Below are 12868 nucleotides of genomic sequence, written 5' to 3'. Positions count from 1 at the left end.
GCTAGGGTTTCAGGTGTAAACCACTGCACCTGGCCCCTCAGGGCCTTTTTGTCTCCTAAACCTGTGTCTTTTTTCTCTCTGGCCTAGGCTTCTTGGTGACCTGTGGCAGAGGCTCTCCCATTCCAGGAAGAAGCTAATGGAGATTTTCCACATCATCCTGAACCAGATCTGCCTCCTTCCCATCCTAGAAAGCAGGTAAGCCCTCACGAATTGCCTCCTGGTGGAAGAGTCTCCTCCCCAAGCCCTTCAGGAGCGTTTCCATTATTTCATCTTGGCTTCCTCCACTGCACTGGGGTTGGCTGAACAGAGATGAGAAACCAAGAAAAATGCCTCATTCCTCCACTGGGCCCCAGCCTTAAAGAGGGGCAGCGGGTGTGTAAAGGAGCTGCAGCTCATCTTGCATTGCATGAGCTCATCTTCCCTGGTGTCTTGTTCTAGCTGTGACAACATTCAGGGCTTCATCGAAGAGTTCCTTCAGATCTTCAGCTCCTTGCTGCAGGAGAAGAGGTGAGTGTGGCTGAGCTGGCCTGGGCCCATGACCCTCCCACAGGTCCCCAAGAGGCCTTACATGATAGACCCCCGCTATAGGCCCACCACAGCTCTAATAAGGTCGGGCTGCAAACACAGGGAGTGGCCTGCAGCAGCACAGCATTCCTGTGGCCCCAGCTCTGTCCATCCCATCTGCTCTCATCTGCCTGCAGGTTCCTCCGGGACTATGATGCACTCTTCCCCGTGGCCGAAGACATCAGCTTGCTGCAGCAGGCCTCATCAGTCTTGTATCCTTCTACCATAGCCCACTACGACAGGGCCCAGCTTGACTAGGTCAGAGGTGAGACAGGCTGCTGGAACCCAGAGGAGTGGAAAGAGGTTTAGCCCCAGAACGCATGGGTCAGCCAGCTGTCCGAGGTGGCCTGCCAAGGTCCCAGCCTTGCCTTTTCTAGAGGAGATGGCTGCTCTGATGCTTGGGGCAGGGGAGATGCAGTGCTATTTTCCGTCTGTGTTTCCTGAGTATCTGGGCCTATGTGACCAAGATGGACTCAGCCCCTCCTCACAGCAGGAGGGGAGGTGGACAAGTAAACAGGCAGTTAGATAGAGTGTCACGTGGGAAGATTTCAGAGGGCAGGAAACCAGAGGTGGCGCCTCACCCAGCAGAGCTCTGGGTGGGGGTCTCAGATGGAAATGATGTCCAAGCAGAAGAACAGCAGAAAGAATGGGAGAGCACCAAGCCAGGAGCAAGGACAAGGACAAGAATGTTCGCAGTGGACAGAGGACAGAGAAAACAGGCTCCTTAGAGCCACAGACGTGTATAGAGTACAGGGGGCAGTCCTTAAGGAGGGGTCTCCCAAGAGGAGGAATTGGGGTGTTGCAGGTGAGGTGAAGGCCAGCAACGTGCACAGCCCTGGGGTGACCATCACTAAGAAGTTTGGGCTCTGTCCTGCAAGCGCTGGGGAGCGCGGAAGGTTGTGAAGCAGGAAGTGACATGGGCAGTTCTATACTTTGGAAAAGCTCTGTCTGGCCCAGGGAAGAGAATGGACTGGCCCAGGACCACCGTGAGGCTCGGGCCAGTGAGGAGGCTGTTGCTGGCATCCAAGCATGGATGATGAGGGTTTGGACAAGAAGCAGTGAGGGAGTCTAAGGGGACTCTCAGATTTCTGGCTTGACAGTGCCCAGGGTTGTTAACAAGGAGGAAGGACAGGGAGGAGCAGCCAGCTTATGGGTCATTTTTGGTGGTTGCAGTAGATTGCTCAGTCCTGCTTCAGGGAAACCTGATGGCCCACAGCCTTTGCAGAATGCCCTCAGCTGGTTGGACAGGAAGCCCAGTGGCAGTGGCCCTACCACGCCCTCCTCCTGGCAGTCAGTACAAAAGAGGAGCTGCTGGCTCGTCCATACCTGTGCCCCAGGACACTCTGATGGCAGCCCTGGCCCTGTCTTTACTCAGAGCTGCTTTCTGCTGAGTGAAAGGCACTAGGTTGTGAGGCCAGAGTGGCTGTAGTCTGGCCCATTTTTCCATGCAGCCCAGGTGCCCGTGGGCTATACCACTTAGATATAGCCCAGAAAGCCCCTGGCAGGAACCATGTGGTCAGATGCTGGGGAGGGACTGAGAAATTATGCTGCTTCAGAGCTAGGAGCTTAAGACAGACCCCTTAACAAGTCCTCACAGGGACGAGACGCGGACTGCCTACATCCTCCAGGCAGTCGAGAGTGCATGGGAAGGGGTGGACAGACGGAAAGCCACAGATGCTAAAGACCCATCGGTGATTGAGGAGCCTAATGGGGAGCCTAACGGGGTCACGGTGACAGCAGAGGCAGTCAGTCAAGCATCATCACATCCGGAGAACTCGGAGGAAGAGGAGGTATGTGTCTGAGTGGCGCTTTTCCCTCTTCGCTTGTCCCTCCTTGGCCCTATCTGAGAGGCTGGGGCAGCAGGAAACCTCCCTTCTTTGCTTTTATACTCAGGGAAAAAGTTTTTTTGGGGAATAGACAGCCTCAAGCAACTGGTCAGCTCTGTGCTGCCTTTAGAGGGTCCCAAGCTGGGGGCATGCTGGACTGTGTGTGAGGAGAGAGCAAGTTGCTTCAACTATCGAAGCCTTAGCTTCCCCTCTATAAAATGAAGAGACGAAACTTTCCATGAACGTTTCCATGAGCCCTTCCCGGAGCTCTCCTCTAAATAGATAAAAGTGGAGCTCCTTTGGTTGCAACTGGGAACAGTGCCAAGTCCCATGGTTTGGCCTTCTTGGAAGCCCCTCCGTGGGGCTCCAGGATTCCACTGAACAAGTGTAGAAACCTCGGATCTGGTGCCTTCTCTCCAGGCTTTTCCAGGACTGGCCGAATCTGTGGCTGTCTTGATTGGCCACCAAGGCCAGGACTCTCCCCTGCATGTTGGGAGGCAGCATGATAAGAGAGATGAAGACCACACAGACTCAGGCGAGGCAGCTCAGGGGTGTGACCTGGTTCTGCCACTTGGCAGCTGTATGGCCTTAGGCACGTCACTCACGTTGAACCTTGGTTCCTCATCTATAAGGTGGGGACAGATGTAGTGCCCACCTCCATGAGGTGTTGGGATTCCCAGAGCTATCACATGGAATACCCTGAGCCTGACTGGCCTTCAGTGCTCCATTAACAAATGCCACAGTCCTTCCTCCCAGCCCAGACCCTGTGATTCCTGCAGGGCCTTGGAGAACAATGGCCTCCTTCACCTTTTCCCACCTTCTTCCCCATTTCGCTTCTTAGCAGAGTCATGGAGGTTTTATTGTTGTGATCTGTAAATTTCCTTAAATTAAAAGGCTAACACAATTAAGTCACATTGAGCAATATATAAAATGCATGCCCCTTACTTAAAAAAGAGATTGTAATTAAAGGGGAGCATCTCCACACAGTCCAGCTCTGGTGGTTGATGTTCGCCTCCACCGTCAGTAAACTTGTTGGAAAAGGACCTTGGATTAGTAGGAAGAATTGGTAGAAACCAGGGCTGTTTATGGAGGGCCTGGTCTGTGCCAAGTACTGTGCTCACTGGGTTTTGTGCCATCTTTGAACTATTTGAAACAACCCCATGAGGTGGGTGGTATAGGCCCATTTTATAAGGAGGAAACTGAGGTTCAGAGAGGGGAAGCATCCTGCCCAAAGTCACACAGCCAGTAGCCCAGCTGGTAAGTCATACAGTCCCTTCAAAATTTTAATTTAATTTAATTTAATATAATTATTTATTTGTTTTTGTTTGTTTGTTTTTTGTTTTTTTTTTGGAGATGGAGTTTTACTCTTATTGCCCAGGCTGGAGTGCAATAGTGCGATCTCTGCTTACTGCAACCTCTGCCTCCTGGGATCAAGCGATTCTCCTGTGTCAGCCTCCTGAGTAACTGGGATTGCAGACACCCACCACCACACCCAGCTAATTTTTTGTATTTTTTTTAGCAGAGATGGGGTTTCACCATGTTGGTCAGGCTGGTCTCAAACTCCTGACCTCAGATGATCCACCTGCCTCAGCCTCCCAAAGTGCTGGGATTATAGGCATGAGCACCATGCCTGGCCTAATTTATTTTATTTTATTTTTTATTTTTTGAGACAGGGTCTTGCTCTGTCACCCAGGCTGGAGTGCAGTGGCTTGATCAAGCTCACTGCAGCCTCGACCTTCTGGGATCAAGTAATCCTCCCACCTCAGCCTCCTAAGTAGCTGGGACCACAGGCGCATGCCACCACGCCTGGCTAATTTTTTTAGTAGAGACAGGGTTTCACTGTGTTGCCCAGGCTGGTCTCAAACTCCTGAGCTCAGGCAGTCCACCCGTCTCGGCCTCCCAAAGTGCTAGGATTACAGGCATGAGCCACCACACCCGGCCACCTGGCTACTTTTTTAAATTTTTTGAACAGATGGGGTCTTGCTGTGTTGCTCAGGCTGGTCTAACTCCTGAGCTCAAGTAATTCTCTTGCCTCAGCCTCCCAAAGTGCTGGGATTATAGGTATGAGCCACTGTACCCGGCCTTAAATTTTTTTTATTTTTTTTTTTTGTTTATTTTCCTGGATATGTAGTAGGTGTATATATTTATAGGTTACATGAGATATTTTGATACAGGCATGCAATAATCATAACAATCACGAGCCCCCTTTTTCACAGAGAAGGAAATGGAGGCTCAGAGAGACTTGAGTCACTTGACAAAGTTCCCACAGGCAGGAGGGGTAATCCCAGGACTTGAACCAGATCCCTGATGCCTAGTCCAGTGCTGTCTGGGGCCTGTGGCCCTATCACCGGCCCACTTAGCCTTCCCCTTCTTGGCTCTGGCTCTCACTACAGTGCATGGGAGCAGCCGCGGCTGTGGGCCCTGCCATGTGTGGGGTGGAACTGGACTCTCTCATCTCCCAAGTGAAGGACCTGCTGCCAGACCTTGGTGAGGGCTTCATCCTGGCCTGCCTGGAGTACTACCACTACGACCCAGAGCAGGTGATCAACAATATCCTGGAGGAGCGGCTGGCCCCCACCCTCAGCCAGCTGGACCGCAACCTAGACAGGTGGGAGAGACAGGTGGGAGGAGGCTCCCGCTGCCCAGGCTGCCTCGGGGTGGGGCCCCTTCCTCTCTTCCTTCCCTCATTCATGGCCCAGGACTCAGCTTGTTCTCTCTTCCCAGCCATTTAAACTAAAGCCCTCTTTGGGGAAACATAAAAACCTTAGGCCCCGCAGGAGTTTTTCACTTGCCCCAGGCAGGGCAGAGAGTGTACACATCCCTGCCACACTTTGTGGGAAGGCTGATTAGAGCGCCATGGATGTGTCTTCAGGGATGTAACACAGGGTTGTTGAGCCCTTCTGATCCCCTACATTCCTGACCTGCCCCTGTCATTACGACCTTCCCAGTAGATTTGTGAGAGAGGATGGCCACAGCGTCTCACTTTCATCACACCTACCATTTATTTGGCCCACTGCTGCCCTGAAGGCCCCATGGGACAGCAGGAACCAGTGCCCGAAAGGGTGTTTCTTCCATGAGCAAGTGATGTTTACCAATCACTTGTTAACTTGAGAAATTAGCTTTGTGCCTTTGGACAAGTTCCTCAGCCTCTGAGGCACAATGAGGTTGAGTGATCTGTGACTACTGATCTTATGCGACTATTACGAGCATTAAATGTGGGATAGCGCTTTTAAGAAACAGAAGGAAACCCTGTGTGAATGGCATGCAGAGAATGAGGGGGAGCTTTGTTTGAGGTGTGGCTGCATACCCAGGCAGAGGCCAGATCAGGCAGCAGCTTATCTCCCTCTTCAAGGTTTTGAGATTGTGTCCTAGGAGTGCCTGTTGAAGGGAACTGAAAAATCCGATGGATTTAATACAGCAGGGGGAAGTGGGGTGCAGATTGCATCAGCTGGCAGGGCCCCCTTAAATTGATCTCTGTGTCCCCCACCCAGAGAAATGAAACCAGACCCTACACCCCTGCTGACGTCTCGCCACAACGTCTTCCAGAATGACGAGTTTGATGTGTTCAGCAGGGACTCAGTAGACCTGAGCCGGGTGCACAAGGGCAAGAGGTGAGTGCAGTGGGCCATGGGGTTCCGATACCCCAACTCTGGAAGTGCAGAGAGGACACAGGGAAACCAAGGGCTCCATCTTCGCAGAATTGGCCATGGAGTATCAGCACAGGGATCCCTTCACAACCCTAGACCTGTGCACCCCCAGTGGTTAGGAGCAGGTTCTCTACTGATCAGGCTTCAGGTTCTGACTCTGTGCAGGGAGGCTGTTAGTGAATCCCCCCTGTTGATAGCAAAAGGCCAGAAGGGCCAAAACTATCCCCCTCTTCCCTTCTTCTTACATCTTTTAATGTGTTAACCATCAAATCACTGGTGGACAGTGCTTCCCAGAAACCACTCTTTGACCTGATTTTCCCCAGGCTGTGAGAAAATTAAGGACTTTGAATGAGCTTTTCAGAAGGTGAACATATTCCACTTTAAGGCCTTTCTATTTATTTTTAGTTTATGTCCTTCCTACTTTTTTGGCATTGAAAATTCCGTTCATGATTTATCCATTTATTCAACAAATATTTGTCTAATACTTACAGCATTCTAGGCTCTGGATTAATTAGGTTCTGGGGATATAGTGGGGAGTGAAACAGACACGGCCCCTGCCCACGTGGAGTTTGCATTAATCAACTCATCAAACAAGCAACATCAAATTGCAGGTATAACAAATACTACAAGCTGGAGGTGCACAGAATTCTGAGCCTTTGGTAGGGCTTCACCCCAGTCAAGAAGGCTCCTCTGAGAACATGACATGGGACCGAGAGCTAAAGGGTGAGGAGGGGTCACTTCTGCAAAGGAGGGAAGGAGAAGCTTCCCAAGCAGAGCAACAGGGACAGTGGTCCCGAGGCCATAGTGAGCACAGCAAAGGGTCCCATGAACCGACAAAGCCAGCATATTTTATGTTTTGAAAAGATCAGGGCTGGGTGCAGCGGCTCATGCCTAGTCCCAGCACTTTGGGAGGCCAAGGCAGGTGGATCACTTGAGTCCAGGAGTTCGAGACCAGCCTGGGCAACATAGCGAAACCCCATATATACAAAAAATACAAAAATTAGCCGGGTGTGCTGGCACACGCCTATAGTTCCAGCTACTCTGGAGGCTGAGGCAGTAAGATCACTTAAGCCCAGGAGGTCAAGGCTGCAATGAGCTGTGATCGTGCCACTGTACTCCAGCCTGGGTGACACAGTAAGAACCTGTCTCAAGAAAAAAAAATAAGAGAGTTCACCCAGCGTTGGAATGATGACCCATCAGAGGGACAGAGAGTTGGATGTCATGGTAAAGAGTACAACATCCAAGTAGAGAACAGCAAAATAAGATGTATTCTAGTCCCCCAAAGTTCTGCATGGAATCTAGAAATCAGGGGACTTCTTTACAAGTACAGGCTGCTCTTTCACCATCACGTGAATGGGGACCGTGAGGTTCAGAGAGGGAGGAGACCAGCCAGCCTTGTTCCTGTGGTAGGAGCCCCAGTGGCGGAAATGCCAGCTGCTTCTTCAGTTAGGGCCCTGTGCTGTTACCCCTCCCTAGGGCTGTCCACTGCTAAAAGCTTGGCTGGCTGAGGGCTTGGGGAACTGGCGCAGGGCAACTACAAAGCCGTCTGGCTGGCTGGACAGGAAGCACTTGCAAACTGCTTAGTCATACACATTGCAACACCCCCAGATCCCAGGCCAAAGATGTTATCCTGGATCAGTGGCCGCTATTCCAGGCCAGCATGGCCCTCTGTAGCTCCAGCGGTGGGCAAGGGGCAGACAAGGGGTCCTCCAGGCTGGCGAGAAGCCTGGCCCCCTGCTCCAATCCAGGAAGCCTGATTGGTAAGTTCCCCACAGAGATTAGCCATCTCTGGATATGGCCTTTCACCTTGATCTGTGGTTTTGTCCAGGGCCCATGGTATTGTAAAGTCTCATCTCACCCCACCTAGGTCATAAGTCACCTACGAGCATTTGCCAAGGGGCTGGTCCCAGCTGTCAGGGTCAGCAGAGTGGCTGGCATTGAGGTGGCCAGGTTTCTGGAACACTGTGCCCTTGTTCCTGGGGCCCTCTGGGCTGGCACGCAGAGAGACTCACTGTGCTGGGTAGCCCAGGGGCTGCAGATTGCAAAGAGGCAAAGCCTCCATTCATGTGTTCATTATTTATTCATTCAGCAAATATTTATTAAGAGATTTAGTAGCACCAGATCCTATGCTAGACACCAGGGAAACAGGGTGAGCTGGATACCCGGCCTTGCCCTCAAATGATCATAAGAAAGACCATTAAACAAGTAAGGACAGAGTGGGAGGTGCTGGGGTGGGGTACACAGGAACTTCGGCAGGGACACATGTCCTAATCCCATGAGAAATTAGGTAGGACGCTGCAGATGGTAGTGGAGTTAAAATGTGTTCGTTGTTGAATCAGATAGGCTGTACTCAGTGCTTAAGTAGTAAGGAAATCTGTTCCCTTGCATGACAAGGCGGTGTAAGGTAGGGCCGTCTAGGCTTGGTTGACCTATCATCCAGAATGTATCTTTCCAGTCTCTTGGGGCCTCACTTCGTGGTCAGGCTACTTCCTTTGAGGCTGCAGAGGGGCTGCAGCTGTTTCTACTATGGCTTCCAGACATGACAGTGCCAGGAGATAGTCCAGACCAGGTCTTCCTGTGTCTCTCCTAGAGCCTAGGATACCTTTCCCAGAAGTCTCCAATACCCCTCATATCTCATCAGGAAAACCAACTCACAGGGTGCAGGCCTGGAGCTCCAGGGTGAAACGGAAAGGTAGAAAGACCTAAAGAAAATGTAGGGTCTGTTTGGAGAATGGGTGAGGTGCAGCATGGCTGTTGTGGAGACATCAATACATGTGCTACAGGTATATCATAGCCAGTGAAGGAGTCAGTGGGCAAGAGGCAGGGTCCCCTAATCCCTTTGGACCATTCCATGGTGCCCTGGAAGACAACATGTGTTCTAAAAATATCTGTGCCGGCTGGGCGTGGTGGCTGTAATCCCTGCACTTTGGGAGGCCAAGGTGGGTGGATCACCTGAGGTCAGGAGTTCAAAACCAACCTGGCCAACATGGTGAAACCCCATCTCTACTAAAAATACAAAAAACTAGCTGGGCATGGTGGCAGGCATCTGTAATCTCAGTTACTCGGGAGGCTGAGGCAGGAGAATCATTTGAACCTGGGAGGTGGAGGTTGCAGTGAGCCAGGATCACACCATTGCACGCCATCCTGGGCAACAAGAGTGAAACCCTGTCTCAAAAAATAATAATAATTAAAATTTTATTTTAAGTGTCTGTGCCCTTGGTCTGCCTTTTGGGGAGTCGCAGAGCACATTAAGGCTCTGAAAAGTCCTGTAGTAAAAGAAACAGGATTCACTTTGTTGAGCCCAGAAAGTGCTGGATCTGCTTCGACATGTCATTTCTTTCTCACATCAGCCCTGGGAAGTGGGTGCCAAGAGAAGGAACTGAGACTTAGCGAGGTTAAGGGACTTGCCTGTGGTCACACAGCCCAGGAAGTGGCAAAGCAGACCTGAATCAGGAGACCTGTGTCTGGCCCTGGCTTTGCTCTTAGTAGCTGTGTGACCTTAAGAGGGTTGCTCTGCCTCTCTGGATCCCCTGATTCTTCACCTGGAAAAGTAGGAGTCTGTTGCTTCCACAGGCTCTTTAGAAGTTCAAAGGCAGGAGTCACCCTGCTAAGGACCAGTTTGAATTGGGCCTTGAAGGACAGGCTTGAGGAGATGAGGAAGGGAAAGGTGGCGAGGTTTCAGGGGCACCTGCATATTCCCAGGGCTTGCTCCCATCTTGGAGGCTGAGGAAGCTACCTGCTCCAGAGGGTCTCTGCAGCCACCATTGCCTGTGTTTCCAGGCTTGACTGAAGTTCTGGCCTCTGATGCATCTTTTCCCAGCTGGCTTTGGTCCTGATTTTTCTTTTTCCTTTCTGGCTCCAAATGAGGTCTGGGGCCAAGGTTGCATCTCCCTGGACAAGCTGCCCAGGTGCCCGGGCTTCACTGTCCCTACCTGTGTCTTCTTCCAGGGCATAGCTAGGGTGGGTGGAGCTTGCCATGCTTCTCTGCCTGGCCCTGCCAGGGAGCCACATAACCAGAGGCCACACAGCATGAAAGAACTGCCCCACTGCACAGAACCAGGGATGGGATGGACCAGAAGCCGAAGGTGTAGCAGAAAGGATGGTGATGCCTCTCATTCTTCCTCAGTCTCCTGGCCCAGCACAGGTCCTGGAACCTATTAGGCCCTTAGGAAATATGTGTCAAATGCATGGGTGTGCTCCTACCAGTGGCACCTACCACCTGAACAAGCTTGGGCTCCTTTTTCTTCCTCTCTACCTCTTTTTCAGCTTAGCATAGAAAGCCAGGTACAGGGCCAAGGTCACAGTCACAGGCCCCTTCCCTGGTGGATGTGAAAGATTTCTTTGAACTGAGATTTCTCCCTGGTCTAAATCAAGTGCACCATCCCTCCTGCCATACCTTGGGGCTCCTGGTCCAATCAAGTAACCCCCTACCGTGGAGCCTCCATTACCCCTTCCTACAGATGCCCAGCCAGACCTCCTGAACCAAGTTCATTCCCTTTGTTTCCAGGGCTTCCGTTCAGCACATTTCGTGTTGACTGGTCTGTCATCTCCACTACACTGAGTTCATGAGGGCAGATCTCTATCTTCTTCATTTCTGAATCTCTCCCCAACTCAGCCTCATACCCTGCCCGGCACAGAGAAGGTCCTTAATAAAGACTACTAAAAAAAAATACAAAAAATTAGCTGGGCTTGGTGGCACACACGTGTAGTCCCAGCTACTGGGGAGGCTAAGGCAGGAGAATCGCTTGAACCCGGCTGGTGGAGGTTGCAGTGAGCTGAGATCACGCCACTGCACTCCAGCCTGGGCAACAGAGCAAGAGTCCGTCTCAAAAAAAAAAAAGATGTGAAGGGAGGCAAACCCTAGCCCGCCATGCTGAAGGCTGCAGTCCTGACCTGCCCTGGCTGCCAGGCAGATAGCCTGACAGACTGAGATGGACTCAGACGCCTGCCTCTCCCTGCACCAAAAGCCAGTTAATAGAAGATTTTTATGGAAGCTCTGTTTGGCTTTGTGTCTTTTCTTTTTTTTTTTATTATCTTACCCTTGATACATTCCAGAGACCCGATTTCACAGCTAAGCTGGATTTTCTTGCCTGGCATCTCATATTGATTTTCCCCTGCAGGGCTAGAAGCTACATTCCACAGGCCTGGGTATGTTTCTGACAAGCCAGGTTTTTTCACAGGTTTGCAAAGCCGTGAGTTGAGAAGCCTCAGTCCCTGCCGAAGCTGTGCTGCAGCTCACTTGTGACCCAAACATGTTCCTTCTCCCACCCAATGCACCCGAGTTTCCTCACCTGTAACGTGACCAGAGTTGGGCTTCCAAACATTTTCTTCCAGTGAAATTTTACATGGAAACTTGAGCTGTGGAAGAGACAGAAGGCTGCTGTAGTGAGGTGGGGGTGATAGGAAGAGGACTGGGAACCCCCTTTTCTTATACCCCAGATATCCCTATGGCTCCCTTGAGCTCAGTCAGAAAGCCACATGTGGCCTTACTGCTTCTTAAATTTTTGTTTGTTGGCAAGGAAAGGTCATTTTTGAAAAAACAATAAACGAATAACAATTTTAAAATGAAAAAAAATTTTGTTTAAGAGATCCAGGCTGGGCACAGTAGCTCACACCTGTAATCCCAGCATTTTGGAAGGCTGAAGCAGAGGATCACTTGAGCCCAAGAGATCAAGACCAGCCTGGGCAATATAGTGAGACCCTGTCTCTACAAAAAATTTAAAAATTAGGCTGGGCACGGTGGCTCATTCCTGTAATCCTAGCACTTTGGGAGGTTGAGGCAAGCAGATCACTTGAGACCAGGAGTTCCAGACCAGCCTGACCAACATGGCAGATACCCCATCTCTATAACAAAATACAAAAATTAGCCAGGCATAGTGGCACGCACCTGTACTCCCAGCTACTCAGGAGCCTGAGGCACGAGAATCGCTTGAGCCCAGGAGGCGGAGGTTGCAAGATCATATCACTGCACTCTAGCCTGTAACAAAAAAAAAAAAAAAAGATTTAGACAACTCCAGGTGCTTCCAAGCAGTAACCACTGTCATTTGGCGTGGGGCTTCCTAGCCTTCTGTCTGCATTGTCATGCATAGGCGTGTGGCCATAGAAACAGAGTTAGCGTAGTTTGCTTTTGGGATCATACTGTACGCATTTTTCTGTAGCTTGCTTGTTTTCCTTGGGAATAAGTGAGAATTCTTTCCGCATCAGCACAAATAGATCAATGTCTTTCTTGACAACTACCACACAACGATCTAATACAGATGTGGCACAGTTCATTTGGCTCTTTCACTCATGATGGACATTAGTTGCTTTCCATTTTTCACTGTTGCAAACAATGCTGAAAAGAAAATCCCTAATCAGACCTCTGTACACAGAGCTGGTGTTTCTTTAGGGCAGATGCCTTGACAGGGAATATCCTGGTTGAAAGGTACGCACATTTTACCTTTTTTATTTATTTATTTATTTTGAGATGGAGTCTTGCACTGTCGCCCAGGCTGGAGTGCAGTGGCGTGATCTCGGCTCACTGCAACCTCCACTTCCCAGCTTCAAGCGATTCTCCTGGCTCAGCCTCCCGTGTAACTGGGATTACAGGCACCCGCCACTATGCCCGGCTAATTTTTGTATTTTTAGTAGAGACGGGGTTTCACCATCTTGGTCAGGCTGGTCTTGAACTCCTGACCTTGTGATCCACCCGCCTCGGCCTCCCAAAGTGTTGGGATTACAGGAGTGAGCCACTGCGCCCAGCCCCATTTTACCTTTTAACAGTGGCTCTTGGCCGGGCGCAGCGGCTCACACCTGTAATCCCAGCACTTTGGGAGGCTGAGGTGGGGGGAT

The 12868-nt window shown here is 50.8% G+C and overlaps 1 protein-coding gene across 57 annotated transcripts in view, besides 3 other annotated features; it reads left to right on the top strand.

The window, feature by feature from the left end:
- The window catches only part of ASCC2 (activating signal cointegrator 1 complex subunit 2), a 49664-nt gene that overhangs the window by 31283 nt on the left and 5513 nt on the right, over positions 1 to 12868 (top strand). For all 57 annotated transcript variants that reach the window (NM_001369942.1, NM_001369947.1, NM_001369936.1 and 54 more), the window contains 6 exons: positions 88 to 195; positions 439 to 507; positions 702 to 776; positions 2162 to 2354; positions 4784 to 4998; positions 5882 to 6001. In NM_001369942.1, coding sequence (NP_001356871.1) covers positions 88 to 195; positions 439 to 507; positions 702 to 776; positions 2162 to 2354; positions 4784 to 4998; positions 5882 to 6001 — 780 coding nt within the window. The remainder of the gene's footprint in view (positions 1 to 87; positions 196 to 438; positions 508 to 701; positions 777 to 2161; positions 2355 to 4783; positions 4999 to 5881; positions 6002 to 12868) is intronic.
- Positions 5415 to 6410: an enhancer, noted in NCBI's record as "H3K27ac-H3K4me1 hESC enhancer chr22:30196571-30197566 (GRCh37/hg19 assembly coordinates)". NCBI's record gives its function as "activates a minimal SCP1, AML or CMV promoter by ChIP-STARR-seq in primed H9 embryonic stem cells {active_cell/tissue: H9 hESC(primed)}" and the evidence as "EXISTENCE:reporter gene assay evidence [ECO:0000049][PMID:30033119]".
- Positions 7302 to 7802: an enhancer, noted in NCBI's record as "H3K27ac hESC enhancer chr22:30195179-30195679 (GRCh37/hg19 assembly coordinates)". NCBI's record gives its function as "activates a minimal SCP1, AML or CMV promoter by ChIP-STARR-seq in primed H9 embryonic stem cells {active_cell/tissue: H9 hESC(primed)}" and the evidence as "EXISTENCE:reporter gene assay evidence [ECO:0000049][PMID:30033119]".
- Positions 7803 to 8303: an enhancer, noted in NCBI's record as "H3K27ac hESC enhancer chr22:30194678-30195178 (GRCh37/hg19 assembly coordinates)". NCBI's record gives its function as "activates a minimal SCP1, AML or CMV promoter by ChIP-STARR-seq in primed H9 embryonic stem cells {active_cell/tissue: H9 hESC(primed)}" and the evidence as "EXISTENCE:reporter gene assay evidence [ECO:0000049][PMID:30033119]".

The sequence above is a fragment of the Homo sapiens genome, chromosome 22 (genome assembly GCF_000001405.40).
Source record: "Homo sapiens chromosome 22, GRCh38.p14 Primary Assembly".
In the NCBI taxonomy this organism is placed as follows: Eukaryota; Metazoa; Chordata; class Mammalia; order Primates; family Hominidae; genus Homo; species Homo sapiens.
Note: the sequence above shows the minus strand (reverse complement) of the source record. Positions and strands in the feature narration are given on the sequence as shown.